At 35.5% G+C, this 23,106-nt stretch overlaps 1 long non-coding RNA gene and 2 pseudogenes across 1 annotated transcript; 1 reads left to right on the top strand and 2 right to left on the bottom strand.

The window, feature by feature from the left end:
- OR10J8P (olfactory receptor family 10 subfamily J member 8 pseudogene) lies at nt 1,067–1,992 on the bottom strand (annotated as a pseudogene).
- Nucleotides 3,644–22,655, top strand: LOC124904433 (uncharacterized). Its single transcript, XR_007066672.1, has 2 exons — nt 3,644–3,829; nt 21,464–22,655. It is a non-coding gene; the product is annotated as an uncharacterized LOC124904433 (long non-coding RNA).
- Nucleotides 16,130–17,102, bottom strand: OR10J7P (olfactory receptor family 10 subfamily J member 7 pseudogene; annotated as a pseudogene).
- Nucleotides 22,656–23,106: the final 451 nt, after the last annotated feature.

Below are 23,106 nucleotides of genomic sequence, written 5' to 3'. Positions count from 1 at the left end.
GTTTAGACACTCACATACAATATCACCAACAACCTTTGTATATTCTCATAAAATAAATGCCAATATTATTACTTGGTGCTACCTCTTTTACTCTATCACCAAGGGGTTTTAGTTACTTTCCAAAAATATTTCTAAAACAGGATCCTGAAAACTTAGATATCCATTTTCTCACATGGTCAATTTGGAACTTATATAAAAAAGACCTAGATTTCAAGGGCTGCTGAATTTTATAGATTGCTATTATCTCTGATACTCATTTTATTTATAGTGTCTAGTCGATTTAAAAAATCTTAAATTTCCCATAAAGAAATTAATTCAATTAGGTGTTAAATCTACTTAGCGCTAAATGGGTAAGGGGAAACACCACATCCAAAAAACAGTGTTATAGAATATATTTAAAACTTGAACCGGCAAGGCACGCTGGCTCACGCCTGTAATCCCAGCACTTTGGGAGGCCAAGGCGGGCGGATCACGAGGTCAGGAGATCCAGACCATCCTGGCTAATACGGTGAAACCCTGTCTCTAATAAAAATAAAAAAAATTAGCCAGGCATGGTGGCAGGCACCTGTAGTCCCAGCTACTTGGGAGGCCAAGGCAGGAGAATAGCGTGAACCCGGGAGGCAGAGCTTGCAGTGAGCCGAGATCACACCACTGCACTTCAACCTGGGTGACAGAGCAAGACTCTGTCTCAAAAAAAAAAAAAAAAAAAAAAAAAAACTTGAACCTTGCCCTAGAGCAGCCTCCCCTCATTAACTCTGTCTCCTCTCCTGATTTCATTCTGTCCCAGGCTGCCCACACAACGCTTCTACTTTCCAACACCACTGAGTTCTTTCTTCTGCATTTGTAACCTATAAAATCCCTGTTCTCTTATGAGATGGAGGCCCGCTGTGCTTTGGAGAACCTTCCCCCTTCTCAAGTGGCTGAATCCTTTTGTTTTCTCTTCCTCTCGCCCAACCACTGCTTGATAGGCTTGAAATTTTTAACTCTATTGACCATGCACACTGTTCCACTGTTTCTTCTCTAGAAAATCTTCTAAGACACTATTTGAAATGGGCCTATTCTCTTAGGAGAATTTTTGACCTATCACTCTGCACAGAGCATCTTTGACCTCTTTGTTCCTCAGAGTGTACACCACAGGGTTCAGTAACGGGGTAATGACAGTGTAGGTCACTGAGATCAGCTGATCCTGATCTCTGTGTTCTCTGACTTGGAATTGAAGTAAGCAATGGAGGCACAGCCATAGTGGACAATAACCACAGTAATATGAGAAGCACAGGTGGCAAAGGCCTTTTTCCTGCCCTCGGCAGAGGCAATCTTGAGGATGGTAGAAATGATGAGGATGTAGGAGATGAAAACCAAGCCCATGGGAATGAGGATCACCAGCACACTGATGATCATAGTCAGGATTTCATTGACTGTGGTGTCAATGCAGGAGGGCTTCATTACAGGTCGGATGTCACAGAAGAAGTGAGGCACCTTTGGAATACAGAAAGGCAGCCTGAATACAGCTGACACCTGTGTCATTGCTACAATTAGGCCAATGCTGCAGGCCCCTCACACCAGCTGCATACACACTCTCTTGCTCATGACGACTGAGTACCTCAAGGGGTTGCAGATGGTCACATAGCGGTCATACCCCATTGCTGTGAGCAGGAAGCAGTTGTTGATAGCCAAAGTAATGAAGAAAAACATCTGAGTGGCACAACCTGCCAAGGAAATGGGCTGACTCAGGCCTATGAGGTTAAACAGCATCCTTGGTATAATGACAAGGGTGTAGACAGTCTCTGAACCTGACAGCATGCTGACGAAGAAGTACATGGGGGTGTGGAGGTGACGATCAATACTAATGATACTCACAATGATAACATTGCCTGCCAGGGAGAATATGTACAACGTAAGAAACACAACAAAGAGGGTGAGCTTGTGCTCACGGAAGCTGGAGAAACCTTGAAAAATAAACACATTCATCAAAGAGTGATTCTCTTTCTTCATTAAATCACACATGATATCTGAGAAAGAAAAAAATAATGTAAGGAACCTAGATGGATGATTTCTGTCAAATAATAGGCTGGGAAAATTCCTGTGATTAATACACCTTAGGTCTCTGCTTTTTTACATTCATACTTATTTCTTTTAGGAGTAGAGAGTGGAGAAACGTTCTTTCCTCATTCAGAAGAAAGTACATGGCTTTTAAAGTCAAATGTTGTAAACTAATTTCCTACTTCTTGCATATGCTAACTTATCTTGGGCAAGGACTTATAATTTATAAGACCAGTTTCCTCACCTTTATGGATGTAGTGGTGATAACATCATAGAATTGTTGATGGAAAAATTGTATACTAATTATAATACTCATATTTGAATTTTAAAAACAACATTGAATAAATGCGAGTTCAGTGGTGTCATGCAGAACTCCAGGCTTCATAGCTACCTGATAATTTTTGAGCTTCTAAAGTTTGAATAAAGCCTGTGTTACTGTAATTTCCACACTGCATTTTCATTCCATTATTTTGACTCTGATGATATTGCTCCTCTCAACTCTGTTCTACACTCCTCTTCCCTAGACACCACTCATTTTTCAAAGACAAATAAAACCCATGTCCTTTAGAAAATCTTTTTTCCTCATTGGAACCCAGGAGGTGGAGATAGCAGTGAGCCAAGTTCGCACCACTGCACTCAAGCCTGGGCAACAGAGCAAGACTCCATCTCAAAAAAAAAAAAATCTTTTTCTCCTTACTCTCTCTCTCTCTCTGGGGCCTATATGTCTCATGTCTCTGCACATGTAGGTGGCATAGAACTGTTCAGTGTTTTTTTATTTTTATATTGTAAGCCCCTTACAGTGAAATTGTGATTACAAAATATTTTTGCATACATTATTTAATCTTATTACCATCCAACAGAGCAAGGAGGACAAAGATGAACTGTCTCTCTCTAGATGCAAAAACTGAAGAACAGCTCTGGTTAGGCAATTATTTTTGGACAGACAGGGGTCAAAGGACTAAACCAAGACTAGAATTCATATCTTTTGACCCTATGTCCATTGTTTCTTCCACTACACAAAACTGCATTATAAAACTGTCCCCTCTATAGCTGAACAGGGACCATGTATTCCCTCTTTTTATGACTCCAGGTTGGCCACTCCACTATGGGGGACAAATATCTGCTGGTAGAATCATTACGAGTCATTGCTCCTTCACACAAATTGTCCATTAGAAAGTAGAATACCAGAGCATTACAATGATATTTTCTTCAAAGAGAAGGCATAAATGTTTTTAATCTTTGACTTTTTATGATGTCTAGGTCTGTGATAGCAACAAACAACTAAATAATTGGGCTAAATTTTAACACTGGAATTATAACACTAGAAGAAAGTATGACATTATTAACAAGTAATTGAAAAATACACTGGTAATAAAACTTTTCTAGTAGCCTTTACCTTATCAGTAATCACTATATAATACATAATAGGTTCATTGTAAAAAAGATAAATTTAGAAATATAATGATGGAATTACTTCAAAAGTACAATTTGTTGGAAGTAAAGCAAATGAATCCACATCACAAAATGATTTACTATTGGGTGAATTTCAAAGGTAAGCTTCTTTAGTGCTTTTAAAATTAAATTCAATTTATCTATTTTTCAGAAATATACCCCTTTTCATAAGAAAATCTACAAAGAGTATTTATAAGAAATTGGTGCATGGCTGTGCTTCAACTCCTCAGTGCATGATATGAAAGAAAATCAGATGAGGTTGCAAGAAATAAATTTTGTGTTAGACATCAGAGACCATTTCTTGACAGGAAAAGTTGTTTGTGATGTGTGCAGCATGGTAAGTAACTGTAAACATTCTTTATGAAGCTTTCTAAACTGTGTCTCTGTGGACCATGGATTGTCTGAAGATAAGAATATAGACAAGAGAGCATGCATAGCTGATAAGTGTCAGAGCCACATTCCTTATTATCATGCTAATCAAGGCACTCTTTAATCCTGAGAAATTTTAGTTCCTTAGGATTAACAGGAGATCCTTGAAAGTAATAAATCAAGGAAACCCAAATATTCATAGACATCAGGATTCTTCCCAGCTTAATATAGTTTGCCCTTTAAAAATGATTTAAAAAAACTTCATGCATGTATTTTATTCCTTATAAGGCTCCCTCTGCTAACCATTGAAGTCTCTTTCCAAATCACTTACTTCTCTTTCTGCAAATCTGTGGCTCAACCGAAAAGTTGAGGTAGAGGTCAGAGATGTGAAACCTTGACCACAAGTATTCACAAATCAAGATCATGAAGAAAAGACATCTGAATGTGGGCCTTCCATCTGCCATAGGACCAGTCTAGGGATGGAGGTCAAAGGAAAGTTACAGGGGGCTCTTTGGATACTGGATATTTCCTCCAGCTTGAGGAGGACCTTTTGATACCAAAGAAAGGCTCTCTGATGAGCAGCTTTCAAGGTTTCAGGGTTTCTCAGTGTCATTCTCTGAGCACTCTTGAGAGTCGCCCTTTGACTAAGAGGAAGCAGACAGCCAGTACCAGGGGACCTCGTTAAGTGTGCGGCACATTTACCAGATGATATGGACTTGTGCTTTGGGAGACTTGAGGCAGTTTTCACAGCAAGTAGAAACAGCAGTGGCTTATTTGTCATGTTTTATTTTTTAAATAAATATTCTATTTTTATGCAGTTGAGCCTTGGAAAACCATGGTTACGAAGCCCAAGCGAGCTTTAGCTAAGCGCACTGTCTTGGATTCCAGGAAACCCTGCAGCTCTTTCTATCGTTAAAAACCTTGTTCAATATTATAAGCTGTGCTTTTTTTTCTGTTCTCTGAACTAAAAAAAACTCAATTTTGGCCAGTTTTTGTCCTGTAGGATTCAGAAAGGGAAGATCAAATCTCATTAGACAATAGAAACCTCTCTAGAAGGCCAGGAGGCCATTTTAGAGCTCCAAAAACATGAACCAGGACTTCATCCCAAGGGACCATCTGGCAAACAGTTAAATACACTGGGTTTCATGAGCCCAATCTGGGGTTATCCTCCCACTGGTTTTCCTGCCACAACCCTTGGCACTTTATTCTATTTTTTTAAAATTTATGTCTATCTCATCACGAATTCTGCCAATTCTCCTCCAAGTTAATTTTTCCGTACTTGGCCAAAAATAAGGTACCTGCATTAATATCTTAATAAACTTGAAAAATGCTCCTCATACTGATTTTTTCATTTGTATTTTATATTTCCTATTTGTCATAACTTAAAAGAAATAATTTTTAGGGACAAAATCTTGCTCTGTTGCCCAGGCTGGAGTGCAGTGGAGCAATCATAGCTCACTGCAGTCTCAACCTCCTGGACTCAAGCTATCCTCCTGTCTTGGCCTTCTGAGTAGCTAGGACTACAGGTGTGTGCCACCATACTCAGCTAATCTAAAAGAAAATTAGAAAGGGGATCTCATTATACCGCACAGTCTGGTCTCAAATTCCTGGCCTCAAGTGATTCTTCTGCCTCAGCCTCTCAAAGCACTGGGGATTACAGGCATGAGACACCACACTCAGCCTGTGGTAACTTTTGGATCGAAAAAATTATAAAATCAAAAACTTTATAGCAAATATAAGAATGTTAATTACATTTGCTTTTATTCCTATTAGTTCACAGACATAAGAAAATATTGGCCAAACTGGAGAAAACTCCAATATTTGTAATTAAATTATCATTGATAAAGTTAACATCCCAACTTTTTTCCTTATTGTTTGCAGCTGAGTAGTACCTTCGTATGCATTACAACCTGCACTGTCTTGGGGGTCGAATTATGATTGGATCATTCATTTTTGTGCCATTCTGTTGATTAAACATGTACTTTTCTTTATCTGCTCTAGTGAGAGAGGGGCCAAACTGTTACCCTAGTTATCATTAAAGACACAAATCTGCACTGAGGCATAAAGAGGCTCCCTCCCCTAGACGGGAAGTAGATATAAAGACCCTTTCAGCAGAGAAAATTAGGACAGCTTTATCAACACAGAAAAAGGATAGAGAGAACTTTGTATTGTAGCAATCTGAACTTCCTGTCAACAGATTAGGAGGACATCTTGGGGGTGAATGTACTAATAACCTTATTTGCCAGTAAAGGGGTGTCCTTTCATGTTTCAAGGGTTAAATATGAAATCTAGCCGAATTCTGTGTTTATAAATAACCAGGAAAATGAAGGACAGTAGGCTGGGGTCTGTTAGGAGTTTGATGGTCAAATAACTTCTAACTCCTGGTTGGCAGGTTTCTCAAGATCTGGCTGTATAAACAATGGACAGGGCTGAGAACCAGGAAGTGCAGTGTCTCTGGGATCTATGCTTGATGCCTCTAACTCTGCTTAGCACTGAGTATGTAGGATAGTCCCCATGTGTAAGTATAGCTGCCTATGTCCATAATTGCTTGTACTGAAACCCAGACGTTCTAGTCTAGTGTTGCATAACACAGTACCCCAAACTTAGGAGCATAAAGCAACAACAATCATTTGTAATTACCTCTGTATGGGTGATTGATTTCAACTGGGCTATTCTCACTTAGAGTCTGTCATGCAATTTTGTTCAGGAGGTAGATGGAACTTGCTCACTCACGTGCCAGTCAGTTGATATTGCCTATTGACTGAAATACCTACACATCATCTTTCCATGTGGCCTGGGCTTCCCCACTGCTTTAGTCAAGAAGTAACAAAGGTCCACTCAGTTTCAAGGGGTGAGAGTACAGACCTCACCTCTTAATGAGGGAATGGCACACTCTAAGAAGAGCATGAGGAATAAAAGAGATATGTCCATTTTTTGAAAATATAGTCTGCCACAGTAAATTAGTAGATGGCCAGTATCTTCTCTTGGACAATTTAGATTAGATGCCCTCAAAGGGAAATAGGAAAAAAAAATAGACAACTCAAACTCTAGACTCTCCCTTCTTAAGTGTTTATGTCAACTTCATCAGTCTATTGTAATACTTAAGTTACAGGGATTAGAAAAATAAAGGGAAAATGTAAGACACCAAAAAGGGAGGTTCTAGATCACCTGCTAACCTATTAGAAACTCAAGATGATATCAATTTGAGTTGGTAAATGTAAAAGATATACATTTAGTGGACTAGATGATAACTGTAAAAGGCAAGACTAAAGTTTCTAAACAACTTTCAAAGTTAACAAAGCTCTGGCTAGGCAGACAAGAAGCCACCAGTTATGATTTGCCTAAGCATTCTGTGTCCACGTATAGGTTTGGCATATGTTATTATATTTTTTAATGTACAAAATATATATATTTTTGTTATTTTTAATATAACACTTGATGTTTACAAAACACTGTGTTTAAGTTGTGGAGCATAACAATAAGATGAACATTTAGGAATCTATCACTCAACTTAACTCAAGAGCTACACTTATGTATTTTTCATTTTTCCCACCTCCCTATTTCTTCACACTGTACCCCTCACCCCCACCAGTGGTTACTATTATTCTAATTTTTATATTTATTGTATCTTATTTATTGTTATATCTTTATGACATATGTATGTATGTTTAAAAATACATTACTTAGCTATACCTACTTTTGAGCTTTATAAAATGTAATACTGTATACACTTTTCTAAGACTTGCTTCTTTTTATAATTCAGTTACACTAATAATATCCAGAAAGAGCTATAGTTCACTAGCTGCCTTATACTATTCCATTATGTGAATATATCTCGATATTTTTAATCCATTCTACTGTTGAGGAATAATAGAATTGTTCATATATATTTGTGTACTTCTGGCAGCTCATCTATAGAATACATTCCTGAAAGTAAAATTCCTTGATCAGTAATATGTGCCTTTAAAATCTTAATAACTATTGCCAAACTGAAACCAAAATAGGATACATTCATTTACACACTCGGCAACACTGAGAATGCTTCCTCACCCACACTTTCATCAATGATGGGTATTACCAACTCCTTAAAAAATGGGCAAACTTAAAGGTAAAAGGGGTTTATTATTTTTTCCTTTGAATTTTAATTTCTTTAATTACAAATAAGGTTAAGTATCTTTTCATATGCTTATTAGCAATTTCTACTTTATATGCTGCGAATGTCCATTTACGTATCTTGCTCATTTTTCATAGTGTTAGTTGTCCTTTTCTTGTGAGTGCTAAGATAAGAAAATATGCCTTTTATCATATATATTGCAAATATTGTTCTTCCATTTATCATTTTTACTGGATTTGTGTGTTTGAAATTTTTGCAATATTATATTCATGTATTTATCTCTTGAAATCAAACTTTATTGCTTATGCGTTTTGATTAGTGCTTAAAAGGGACTTCCTAACTCCAAGATTATTTTTAAAAAGCACCATGCTGTCCCATATACTTCGTATGCTTCAATATTGATTCATCTGAAATTTATTTGGTTGTAAGAAACAAAGTAAGGTATACAGTGGTCCTTCAGTATCCACGTAGATTTGTTCCAAGATGCACTACGGCTAGTAAAATCTGAGGATGCTCAAGTCCGTTATATCAAATGGCATAATCTTTGCATGCAACCTATGCACATCCTCCCATTTACTTTAAATCATCTCTAGATTACTTATAACATCTAATCAAATGTAAGTGTTATGTAAATGAGTGTTGTACTGTATTGCTTAGAGAATAATGACAAGAAAAAAAGTCTGTGCATGTTCAGTACAGACACAACATTCTTTTTTTTTTTCCTAAACAGAAGCTTTTTAGTTTGTTGTAGTCCCACTTATTTATTTTTGCTTTTGTTACCTGTGCTTTTTGTGTTATATGAAAAAAAAATCATTGCCAAGACTGTTAAGCATCTTTTTCCTATGTTTTCTTTTAGGAATTTTTATGATTTCAGGTCTTAGGTTTAAGTCTTCAATCTGTTCTGAATTAATTTTTGTGTATGCTGTAAAATAATAACCTGTAGTTTTCTTTTCTTCTGCATGTGGATATCACATTTTACCAACACAACAAGAGATTATCTTTTCCCCATGTTATGTCCTTGGTGCCTTTATTGAAGATTGGTTAATTTTGTACATGTGGTTTTATTTCTGGGCTCTTCATTCTGTTCCATTGGTCTATGTTGCTGTTTTTATGCCAGTATTATACTGTATGATTACTACAGCTTTGCAATATATTTAAATCAGGATGTGTGATGCCTTCAGCTTTTCTCTTGTTTCTCAAGATTACTTTGGCTATTTGGGATCTTTTGTGGTTCCATACAAATTTTTAGAATTTTTCCTTTTATTTCTGTAAAAAATACAATTGAAATTCTAATAAATATAGATTACATTCAATCTATAAATCACTTTAGGTATTATAGACATTTTAATAATATAAATTCTTCCAATCCATGAACACGGGATATCTTTCCATTTATTGGTTTCTTCTTTAATTTCTTTCATCAATATTTTTTGGTTTTCAGTATACAAATCTTTCACCTCCCTGGTTAAATTTGTTCTTAAGTAATTTATTCTTTTTTATGTTATTGTAAATGAGATTTTTAAAAATTTTCTTCGTGTATAGTTTATTTTTGATGCAAAGTAATGCTATTGATCTTTGTACACTGAATGTGTATCCTGTACCTTTAGTGAATTTATTTATTCTAACAGTTTTTTTTTCTTTCATGGAGTTTTTAGGGTTTTCTACATAGAGGATCATGTCATCTGCAAACGGAGATAATTTTACTTTTCCCTTTCTAATTTCAATGCCTTTTCTTTCTCTCTCTTTTCTATTTGTCTTTCTAGGACTTCCAGTACTATGTTGAATAGAGTGGCAAGGGTGAGCATTCTTGCCTTATATTGGATTTTAGAGAAAAAGTTGTTTTTCCCTATTGATTATGATATTATCTGTGGGTTTTTCATAAATAGCCTTTATCATGTTTATGTTACTTCTTTCTTTACATATTTTACTGAGAGTTGTTATCATGAATGAATGTCAAACTTTGTAAAATGCTTTTTTCTACATCTATTGAGATTATCATGTGATTTATTTTCATTCCGTTAATGTGATGTATCATAATGATTAATTTGCTTATGTTGATTTCACCCTGCATTCCAGAGATAAATCCCATTTGGCCATGGCGTATAATCTTTGTGGTGTACTATTGGATTTAGATAGCTGGTATTTTATTCAGGATTTTTCATCTATATTCATGGGAGATTTTGACTTGCAGTTTTCTTTTCTTGTGGTGTCTTTGGCTTTGGCCTTATCAAATGAGTATAGAACTGTTTTCTCTTCTATTTTTTAGAAGCGTTTAAGAAGGACTTATATTAAATTTTCTTTGACTGTTTGCTAGGATTCATTCATAAAGCCATCTGGTCCTGGGCTTTTCTTTGTTGGAAGGATTCTAATACTGAGTCAATCTACTGATTATTTTCATCTGTTCAAGTTTTCTATTTCTTCTTGATTAGTTTTGGTAGGCTGCATAATTCTAGAAATTTATCCATTTCTTCCAGGCTATACAAATATAATTTGTTGCCTTTTAATTGTTCATAGAAATCTCTATGATCTTTTTTATTTCTTAGGCATCTGTTGTAATGTCTCTTTCTTCACTTCTAAATTTATATGAGTCTTCTGTCTCTTATTTTCTCTTTTATTCTAGCTAAGGGTTGTCCATTTAATTTATCTTTTTTATAGAAAGAACTTTTAGGTTTGTTAATTTTTCTGTTGTTTTTCGATTCTCTATTTCTGCTCTAATCTTTATTATTTTATTTTTCTGTTAACTTTGGGTGTAGTTTGTTCTTCTTTTTTCTTGTCCCTTGAGGTGTATAGTTAGGTTTCTGCATCTGAGATCTGTCTTTCTTTAAATGTAGGCATTTATGATCATAAACTTTTAGGACTGCTTTTGTTGCATCCTATAGTGTTGGCATGTTTTAATTTTGTTTTCATTTGTTTCAACATATTTTTTAGATTCCTTTTTGATTTTCTCTTTGACCCAATAGTTATAGTGTGTTGTTTAATTTCCATGTAATATAAAATTTTTCCATTTTATTGCTGTTATTGATTTCTAATTTCATTCCATTGTGGTATTAAAAAATACTTGATATGTTTCCATTTTTTTCAAATTTGTTAAGGTTTGTTTTGTGATTTAACATATGATCTATTCTAAAGAATTTTCCATGTTCATTTGAGAAAAATGAGCACTCTGCTGAAGAAAGTTCTTCAAACCCAAAGGAAAGAATGCTAACACGATTGTTAATATTAATATTGTGATTGTGGTGTTTGACCCACTTCTATCTTTACTAAGAAGACTGAAAGAGAAAATAAGACAAATTAAGAACAATAGCTACAGCAATTTAAGGTATAGGCAATATAAAAATTTTAAATTGTGACATCAGAAATTCAAAATATGTGGGGGAGAAGGTAGTCTGTACACATTTTTTTTTATTTTGTTTTTGCTTTGTTACTGTTATTTTCTTGTGATTAAAGCTAAGTTTAAATAAGTTTTTAATTGTGTGTTATAACTATAGGATGTTTGTGTAAGCTTCATGTTAATCACAAAGCAAAAGCATATAATAGATACACTAAAAAAGCTATAAATTAAAATACTCTACCAGAGAAAATAACTTCAATATAAAGAAAGACAGTTAGAAAAGAAGAGAGGAGTTACACCACAACTGGTAAAGAAGTAACAAAATGGCAGTAGCAAGGCTTTACCTATCATAATTACATTGAATGTAAATGGATTAAATTCTCCAGTTAAAGACATAGAGTGGCTGAAAGGATAAATAAGGAAGACCTGACTATATCCTGCCTACAAGACTCAGTTCACCTATACAGACACACATTTATTGAAAGGGAAGAGATGGAAAAAGATACTCTATGCAAATGGAAATCAAGAAAGAGCAGGAGTAGCTATACTTGTATCAGATAAAATAGACTTTAAGTCAAAAACTGTATAAAGAGACAAAGAAGATCACTATATAATAATAAGAAAGTCAATTCAGCAAGAAGATATAACAATAATAAATATACAGTACCCAATACTGGAGCACCCAAATATATAAAGCAATTATTAATACATCTAAAAGATAGACTATAATACGATAATAGTAGGGGACTCCAACACTCCACTTTCAGCACTTGAAAGATTATCCAGGCAGAAAATCAACAAATGGACATCAGAATTAAACTACACTCTGGACTAAGTGGGTCTGACAGACATTTACAGAATATTTTATCCAACTGCTGCAGAATGTACATTTTTTTTCTCATCAGCACATGTAACATTATCCAGGAGACACCATATATTAGAGCATAAAGCAAGTCTTGAAAAATTCGAAGAAATCAAAATCATATCAAATATATTTTCTGATCACAACAGTGTAAGATTAGAAATCAATAACAGGAACTTTTAAAACTGTACACATACGTGGAAATGAAAGAACGTGTTCCTGAATTACCAATGAGTCAGCAAATACATTAAGAAGGAATTTTTTTTTTTTTTTTTTTTTTTTGAGATGGAGTCTTGCTCTGTCGCCCAGGCTGAAGTGCAGTGGCGCTATCTCGGCTCACTGCAAACTCCGCCTCCCGGGTTCACGCCATTCTCCTGCCTCAGCCTCCCGAGTAGCTGGGACTACAGGTGCCCACCACCACATCCAGCTGATTTTTTGTATTTTTAGTAGAGACGGGGTTTCACCGTGTTAGCCAGGATGGTCTGGATCTCCTGACCTCGTGATCCGCCCGCCTCGGCCTTCCAAAGTGCTGGGATTACAGGCGTGAGCCACAGCGCCCAGCCAAGAAGGAAATTTAAAAATTTATTCAAATAAGTGAAAATGGAAGCACAGCATACCCAATCTTTTGGGATACAGCAAAAGCATTACTACGAGAGAATTTTATGGCAATAAATGCCTGCATCCCCCAAACAGAAAGACTCCAAGTCAACAATTTAATGATGCACTTTAAGGAACTAGAAAAGCAAAAATAAAAAAAAAATAGAAGGAAAAAAAATAAAGATCTTAACAGAAATAAATGAAATTTAGACTAGGAAAATAATCCAAAAGTGCAACAAAACAAAAAGTTGGTTTGTGGAAAAGATAAAATTGACAAACCTTTAGCTAAAATAACCAAGAAAAGAAGAGAGAAGACCCAAATAAATAACATCAAAAATGAAAAAAGAAATATCACAACTGATACCCAGAAATGCAAAGGATCAATAAAGAGCATTGTGAACTACTATACACCATCAAATTGGAGAAACTAGGGGAAATGCATAAATTCCTGAACACATACAACCTACCGAGATTGAACTATGAAGAAATAGAAAACCTGAACAGACTAATAATGTGTAATGATTTTGAAGCAGTAACAAGTCTCCTATCAAAGAAAAGCCCAGGACTTGATAACTTCACAATAGTTGTATTGGACACTCTGAGGAGCTGGCCCTGTGCAAAAAGAGGAATGTCCCCCTAGGAGGAGGTGAAAACTTTACCCACTATGTAGGAGGTAGATACTGCTGGTAAACATAAGTATCTTCCAGTCTAGGAAGGTAAGAACCCCATCCCTTATGGCTGAAGATTTATCTGTTACTGGAGAGTCATATTTTGAAATCAAATTTTATATTCTGGGGAAGCAAATGTTTTATGAATCTCCACAAAAAATACTCTTGGAAGAAATATTATGGAATAATGTTATATGATAATAATCCAATGCTTTCCTTCTTTTTAAAATTCTTATTATTCCAGGGGACATTTATTTGCCCCAGTGAAGGATAAACCCAAAAGAATGCAAGAAAAAGTCAACTGAATTTCAAAAATATGTTTATAAAGCTCATAACTGAAACATTTGTATTGAAAGCTGAAATAGTTTTTAAGTTTAGCAAACTTTTCTAGAGTGGAAAACCTCTTAATTTACAAAGAATGGTTTTGAATATCAAAAGCCTAAGTACTAAAGTACTTTGTATATGAAATGTAAACTGTGCATTGTGGAGTTGGAAATAATTAAGGTTTTTTTTTTTTTCCAAAATAAAACAAAGCCATCCAGCCTTTGGAGAAGATGGCACCAGAGTTATATATTGTGGAAAGCCCACTCTTGGTCCTACCCCAAATAAACCCTGATGTAAGGAAGGAAGGAAAGAATCTGATTGAAGCAGAGAAGGTATGCCCCTCACTTTTCAGAGAAGCCTCTTAGAAAAGGCTTGAATACTGATGGAGTAGAAATGGGTGAGTAAGGCAGCAGGTGATGGCTCAATGATACCTCACTGAGTTTCATCCACTCCTCTACAGGGTCAAGGGTGCAGTTAAATGTCCAGGTGCCCTCAAGAAGTGGCAGAGAGAAGTACAAAGAACCTAGAGTAGCCTCAAAATGGTCATAAGGAAGATATGAAGTGCAGGGACTATATTGATAAGGACCATGGCAAGACTGGACTCATCTCAATTAATGGCAACAGATACATGAGCCATTGGGGCTCATGTATCTCCAGAGAATCCAATCTGAGGAGGTAGAAATGAACCTGGATAAAGTTCTTCTTCTTCCAGAAAGCTGGAAATCTTGACCTGAACTTGATTCACCCCAAGGATAATGGGGAAGTGGAAGAAAGGGGAGAAGCAGAACTTTTAATGTTATTGTTTTTACTCATAACATGACTTATTAATCATTAATTGCTTGAGTTTACATGAAAAGGTTTAGATTACTTTTTTTTTCATCAAGCAGATTCGGAGCTGAGAATTACAAAGTAAAATGAATTGCAGAACTTTCTAAAAGTAACCTTTGTATGCACTTGCATAGATAGCCTATATAATTCACAATTGGTTTACACATTTTATTTGACATTTCTGCATTTTAAAAATATTTTACAATGAGAATCCTGTGTACTCATGTATTTCTTGTATGTCTTTTTATAAATATCTTTGTATTGTGACATTAATTTGGTCAGTAATTATAACTGTTAATCATTATAGTTTTAATCATCACATATTTTGTCCCACAAATTGAGTCTAAAATTCACCCTAATGTTTTTAACATTTTTTTGAAGTGAGGAACAGTACATAGTCTTTTTTTAATCTACTTTTAACTCAGTTGCTTTAACTTTATGGAAGTTTTCATGTCAAAAGCCCTTACTGTTGACTTTGTTCAGTTTTTCGGGAGTAGTGAAATTACCTACTTTTTCAGAAAGGTGTTATGTTGACTCTTTCACGTTTCCATTTAATTGTCTTTCTTTGCATTTGTGACTTGGCCTACAAAGGGAAAGAGAGGACCCAATCTGAAATGATTTTAAAAATGATTTTTGGTCGTTTTGACCCTCGCCTTGTCCTTCCCTTCTCATCTATCACTCCCATCTGCATCTGCTTCTGAAGTGTCTTTCTTCCTAACCAATTTCATAACATTTTGTAGCATTCTGCTTCCTGAGCCGTCTCCTCTTCTGATCCTGTTCATGAGGAAGGCATTTCTGTCAGCCCCACAAGGCCTTCTCCTCCATGTGGCTTATCTTCAGCCAGAAGAAGCAAAGAATCAGACCAAGTTACGTGTGCTCTGTTCACAAGCCTCAAGTCTCATAGCTGTCATATGCTGATTAGGAGTCTTCTCCACTCAATGTCCTTACTACTCCCCACTTTCACCACCTAGTTCCCCTTCATTTGGAGTCCCACATGTGGGTGGCAGGAAATGTGCAGGGGATTGCCTGAAAATGTTCTTTCTAAAAAGTTTTTAGCTCATTCCAAACCCATGTCTTAAAAAATGTTCTTGCTTTGCTTATCTTATTAAAACACAAGGCAATTAGATTTTTGCACATATCCTTTTCAGTAATAGCCACTTGTTCAAGCATCCAATTTATGACAAAAAATTCAGTTGAGTAATTTCATATGGTTTGCACTTCAGCAAGATGGACTGGTATCTTTAAATTTAAGCTTGAGATGAACACTAGCTCATACATTGGCCTTGTCATGATCTCCTTGAGTAGGGCCAATGGGTGTCTGTCTACAGGTGTTTCAAGTGACCTGTGTTTTTATTCTGTTTTGAAAGAGGTTCAGAAAATGATCCTCAATTATTAGAGGCTAGCTCCTAGTTTCTCTCTTGCCTTGGCACTGACTGTGATGTATGAGGCTTCACTGATCCCATAAAATTCTGGCTCTATGACTTTACCAATAGGCTTCCATCTGGAAGGCACCCATAACTATTTAAGAAAAGATTATCGTCTTAGGAGAAGAATTTCCTACCCAGCACTCTCTGCAGAGCATCCTGGACTTCTTTATTTCTCAGACCATACACAACAGGGTTTAGTAAAGGTGTTATGACAGTGTAGGTCACTGAGATTAACTGATCCTGATCTTTGGTATTCTCCAAATTGGGCTTGAAGTAGGCAATGGAGGCACAGCCATAGTGGATAATGACCACAGTGAGGTGGGATGCATAGGTGGCAAAGGTCTTCTTCCCGCCTTCAGCTGAGGTGATCTTGAGAATGGTGGAAATAATAAGGACATAAGAGATGAAGAGGAAGATGGCTGGGGCTGTGATGGCAAGGAGGCTCATAATTAAGGTCAGAATATCATTGATCATTGGGGTAGCCCAGGCCAGGTCCAACACAGGCTGAACATCACAGAAGAAATGCTCAATCAGTGGGGTGCAAAAGAGCAACCTGAAAATGGCCACAGTCTGAACCAGTGAGAGTGAGAACCCTGTGGCACAGACTGATGATGCCAGTATAGCACACACCCTCCAATTCATGATGACTGAGTATCGAAGTGGGTTGCAGACGGCCACGTAGTGATCATATTCCATTACTGCTAGCAGGAGGCAGTTGGTGATGGCAAAGCCAAGAAAAAAAAAGATCTGAGTCCCACAGCCCTCCAGGGAAATGGATTGGCTCAGGCCTACAAGGCTGGAAAGCATGCGTGGGATAATGACCAGGGAATAGAAAGTCTCTGAAGTGGATAGCACACTTAAAAAGAAGTACATAGGAGTATGGAGGTGATGGTCAACATAGATTATGGCCAGAATGATGAAATTGCCAGCCAGAGTTAGGAATGTAGAGGGCGAGAAAGACCACAAAAAATGTGAGCTGATGTTCTGGAAAATTGGAGAAACCTTGGAAAACAAACTCTCTTAACTCTGTGTGATTGGCTCTCTTCATTGAGAATCTCAGGTCTGAAAGAATAAGACAAAGTCCACAACATCTTTTAGCAAAAAATAACTGTGCTCTGGAGTACACTACAGAGAGCAAAAATGCAACACAGCAGAGACTCAGTTCAAAACTCAGTGAATCAACTTTCTTTTTTAGGGACATGGCAGATTAAGTCCTTGGACTGAAAATAAAGACACACAAGATTTGAGCACTATTATTTAAAATTTTGATATAAAGCATTCTTCTTAAGTACACCTGGGTCATTTTAAAAAATGATCATCAATGGTCCATGAAATTGGTCCCAACATTTTTTTAAGGACTGGATCTTCTTAAAAGGTAATCACATTCCCAGACTATAGTATAATTAAGACAGAAAATTTCATCTTGTCGCAATTTCATGGATCAAAAATATTGGGAAAAATGCATTTGTACTGAACGTGTACAGACATTTTCCCCACTATTTCCTAAACAATACAGTGTAATAACTATTTATATAGCATTTACATTGTATCAGGTACTATAAGTAAGCCAGAGATGATTTGAGGTATAAGGAGGATGTGCATAGGTTATATGCAAGTACTTCACTATTTTGTATCATGGACTTGAACATCTGTGAATTTTGATATCCATGAGAAGTCCTGGAACCAATCCCTCATGGATACTGAGAGACAGCTATGTTATCAAACCAAATCCAGCAATGTATAATAAAATGGGTACATGACCAAGTTGGTTTTATTTCAGAATGTAAAGTCTGTTTAACATTTAAACAGTCCAATTATATATTTCCTCAAATAAAGTACCTCAAAAAAGTCATATGATTATTTTAATAGCTGCCACAAAAGCATTCTTAAAATTCAATGTCTATTTTGAGAAGAACCCTTAGTAAACTAGGACTAAAATATTTTCTTTAACTTAATAAAGCATATGTATGCAATTCTACATCCCACATCAAACTTAATGGTAAGATATTGAATGATTATCTTTAAGATTAAGAAGAAGACAAGGGTGACGGCTTTATCCACTTCTCTTTGACATTGTATTGAATATACTAGCCAGCCTAATAAAGCAATAAAAAGACATTAAAGGTACAAGGATTGAAAAGAAAGGAATAAAACTTAACTTTCTTTTTATTTTAGTGATTCCAGGACATTTTATTCCTTTACACTTTCTTTCTTTTTTCTTTTTTTGGTGCTTTATTTTATTTTATTTTTTATTATACTGTAAGTTCTGGGGTACGTGTGCAAACGTGCAGTTTTGTTACATAGGTATACATGTGCCATGGTGGTTTGCTGCACCCATCAACCCGTCATCTACATTAGGTATTTCTCCTAGTGCTATCCCTTACCTAGCCTCCCACCGCCTGATAGGCCCTGGTGTGTGATGTTCCCTTCCCTGTGTCCATGTGTACTCATTGTTCAACTCCCACTTATGAGTGAGAACATGCAGTGTTTGGTTTTCTGTTCTTGTGCTAGTTTGCTTAGAATGATGGTTTCCAGCTTCATTCACATCCCTGCAAAGGACATGAACTCAACCTTTTTCATGGCTGCATAGTATTCCGTGGAGTATATGTGCCACATTTTCTTTATCCAGTCTACATTGATGAGCATTTGGGTTGGTTCCAAGTCTTTGCTATTGTGAACAGTGATGCAATAAACATACGTGTGCATGTGTCTTTATAGTAGAATGATTTATAATCCTTTGGGTATATACCCAGTAATGGGATGCTGGGTCAAATGGTATTTCTAGTTCTAGATCCTTGAGAAATCGCCACACTGTCTTCCACAGTGATTGAACTAATTTACACTCCCACCAACAGTCTAAAAGTGTTCCTATTTCTCCACATCCTCTCCAGCATCTGTTGTTTCCTGACTTTTTCACCATTCTAACTGACATGAGATGGTATCTCATTGTAGTTTTGATTTGCATTTCTCTAATGACCAGTGATGATGAGCATTTTTTCATGTTTCTTGGTTGCATAAATGTCTTCTTTTGAGAAGTGTCTGTTCATATTATTTACCCCCTTTTTGATGGGGTTGTTTTTTCTAGTAAAATTGTTTAAATTCTTTGTAGGTACTAGATATTAGCTCTTTGTTAGATGCATAGATTGCAAAAAGTTTCTCCCATTCTGTAGGTTGCCTGTTCACTCTGATGATAGTTTTTTTTTTGCCTTCAGAAGCTCTTTAGTTTAATTAGATCCCATTTGTCTATTTTGGCTTTTGTTGCCATTGCTTTCGGTGTTTTAGTCATGAAGTTTTTGCCCATGCCTATGTCCTCAATGGTATTGCCTAGGTTTTCTTCTAGGGTTTTTATGGTTTTACATGTAACATTTAAGTCTTTAATCCATCTTGAGTTAATTTTTGCAAAAGGTGTAAGGAAAGGATCCAGTTTTAGCTTTCTGCATATAGCTAGTCAGTTTGCCCAACACCATTTATTAAATAGGGAATCCTTTCCCCATTTCTTGTTTTTGTCAGGTTTGTCAAAGATCCGATGGTTGTAGATGTGTAGTGTTATTTCTGAAGCCTCTGTTCTGTTCCATTGGTCTATATATCTGTTTTGGTACCAGTACCATGCTGTTTTGGTTACTGTAGCCTTGTAGTATAGTTTGAAATCAGGTAACTTAATGCCTCCAGCTTTGTTTTTTGCTTAGGATTGTCTTGGCTATGCAGGCTCTTTTTTCATTCCATATGAAATTTAAAGTAGTTTTTTCCAGTTCTGTGAAGAAAGTCAATAGTAGTTTGATGGGGATAGCATTGAATCTATAAATTACTTTGGGCAGTATGGCCATTTTCATAATACTGATTCTTCCTATCCATGAACACGGAATGTTTTTCCATTTTTTGTGTCCTCTCTTATTTACTTGAGCAGTGCTTCATAGTTCTCCTTGAAGAGGTCCTTCACATCCCTTGTAAGTTGTATTCCTAGGTATTTTGTTCTCTTTGTAGCAATAGTGAATGGGAGTTAACTCATGATTTGGCTCTCTCTTTGTCTATTATTGGTGTATAGGAATGCTTGTGATTTTTGCACATTGATTTTGTATCCTGAGACTTTGCTGAAGTTGCTTATCAGCTTAAGGAGATTTGGGGCTGATACTATGGGGTTTTCTGAATATACAATCATGTCATCTGAAAAAAGAGACAATTTTACTTCGTCTTTTCTTAATTGAATACCCTTTATTTCTTTCTCTTGTCTGATTGCCCTGGCCAGAACTTCCAACACTATGTTGAATAAGAGTGGTGAGAGAGGTCATCCTTATCTTATGCCTGTTTTCGAAGGGAATGCTTCCAGTTTTTGCCCATTCAGTATGATATTGGCTGTGAGTTTGTCATAAATAGCTCTTATTATTTTGAGATATATTCCATCAATACCTAGTTTATTGAGAGTCTTTAGCATGAAGGGCTGCTGAATTTTGTTGAAGGCCTTTTCTGCATCTACTGAAATAATCATGTGGTTTTTGTCATTGGTTCTGTTTATGTGATGGATTACATTTATTGATTTGCATATGTTGAACCAGCTTTGCATCCCAGGGATGAAGCCAACTTGATCGTGGTGGATAAGCTTTTTGATGTGCTGCTGGGTTCGGTTTGCCAGTATTTTATTGAGGATTTTCACATCAATGTTCATCAGGGATATTGGCCTGAAATTCTCTTTTTTTGTTGTGTCTCTGACAGGTTTTGGTATCAGAATGATGATGGCCTCATACAATGAGTTAGGGAGGATTCCCTCCTTTTCTGTGGTTTGGAATAGTTTCAGAAGGAATGGTATCAGCTCCTCTTTGTATCTCTTGTAGAATTCAGCTGTGAATCTGTCTAATCCTGGACTTTTTTTGGTTGGCAGGCTATTAATTAATGCCTCAATTTCAGAACCTGTTATTGGTCTATTCAGGGATTCGACTTCTTCCTAGTTAGTCTTGGGAGGGTGTATGTGTCCAGGAATTTATCCATTTCTTCTAGATTTTCTAGTTTGTTTGCTTAGAGGTGTTTATAGTATTCTCAGGCAATACAGAGAACACCACTTTTTTTTTAGATGATGTGACTCTATACACAGAGAATCTGAAATAAATTTCTGATAAATTATTAGAATTATTAAGAAAGTTTAACAAACTTTTTGGTACAAAATTTATATGTAAAAATCCACTTTATTTCAGTATTTCAACAAATGATAGCAAAGTATAAAGCCACTATTATTTATAATAGCTTCAAAAAAATAAAGTATCCATGAATAAAGAACTTTATATTAAGAATTACAATATCAAGAATTACAATACCTTACAAAAAAGACAGAAATAAACGGTTATGCTTATGTATTCGAAGATACAATATTATGATATTACAATTAGTGCACAATTGACTGATGAGTTCAATGCAATTCAATCAGAATCCTAAATAGATTGTTTTGTGTTATTTGTTTTTTAGATTGACAACTCATATTAAACTGTATATGGAAGCACAAACATTGAAGAATAGCCAAACATTCTTGAAGAAAAGAAACAAATGGAGAGAACTTGTCCTTCAAATATCATTTACTATAATAAAGCTGTAGTAATTAAGAAGGCATGGTTTTGGCACAGGGATAAGCACTCAAACCAATGAGAGAAAATGGAATTCTAAAATATGAAAATTATTCAAACGGGGCTGGCATTCCTGATTGATGGAAAGCACAGACTAGTCAATTAATGCAATAGTTGGTCATTCATATGAGGAAAAAATGAAATTAGGTTAGCTTATACCATACAAAATTCAATCACAAATGGATTAAAAACCTATAAACAAACAAAAAACTCTATTAAATATTTAGAAGACACTATGTGAGAATATTTTTAAAACTTGAGATAAATGATTCCTTAAGGTACAAAACAGCAAAAAATGACAACCTTTATTATATAAAAATTAATTTGTGTTTTCCAGAATCACAAAAAAGAAAAAAAGCAAGGTAAAAATAGAGAAAAGATATTAGCAACAAAAATTAGATAAAATACTAGTATTTGGAGTATCAAATGGATTCTGAGAATCAAAGAGAAAAAAATCAGTTTAATATAATGATAGATAAGAGGAATAAATAGGAATTTCATATGAGAGGAAGCACAAATCTCATATAAACATGTGAACAAGCCTTTAACATCATTAGTAGCCAGGGAAAAACAAGACCACACCCCAAAAATTAAGAACATAGACCATTTCATTCTCATAAGATGGTCAATAGTCAAAATTGTGCCAAATATAGAGCAAGGGAAGCTCCAGTCTCCTACTGGTGGGAGAGTAAATTGATACAATCATTTTGGAAAACAGTTTGACATTACCTGCTACAGCTGAAAACAAACATGTTCTATAAACCAGGAATTCTACCGTTAGATATTTAATCCATAAAAACTCAAAAGACAAATGCACAAAGTTTACAGTTTTGTTTGTTTAAACAAAAAGAAAAAAAGGAAAACTGAAGCAAGTCAAATGTTCTTCAGAAGTAGAAAGAACATTTAAATTGAAACAAAATTTCACAATGAACTGTGATAGGGCATTGAGTGAATTACTACAGAGGAGGGGTGGGTAAACCAAAACCTACAGAGCAGTCAAATGTTTTTATAAATAAAGTTTTATTGGAGCACAATCACATCAATTTGTTTATGTATTGTGTATGGCTGCTTTCGTACTATAATAGAGTTGAGTAGGTGCAACAGAGACCGCATGGCCTGCGAAGACTAAAATAATTACTAACTAGTCCTTTACAGAAAAAGTTTGCTGACTCATATTAAAGATAATTAAAAGGACTAATAACATTTTTTCAAATCAACATGAATGAATCTCAGAGTTATTATGATTATATTGAATAATGGAAGCACATCATTTATATATTATATAGAGAGATTATGATTGAGTGATTATATATAAATTCAATATATTATATATGGTGTGTGTGTGTGCATGCATCGTGTGTGTATCCCATTTATTTAACATTCAAAGGAAGGCAGGATTAGATAATTTATTATTTAGGGATACCCTATTTTTTAAAAATATGGAAATGCTGTAACCTAAAGTTCATGACAGGGACTAGTTGGCATATA

Source organism: Homo sapiens, chromosome 1 (assembly GCF_000001405.40).
Source record: "Homo sapiens chromosome 1, GRCh38.p14 Primary Assembly".
NCBI lineage: Eukaryota > Metazoa > Chordata > Mammalia > Primates > Hominidae > Homo > Homo sapiens.
Note: the sequence above shows the minus strand (reverse complement) of the source record. Positions and strands in the feature narration are given on the sequence as shown.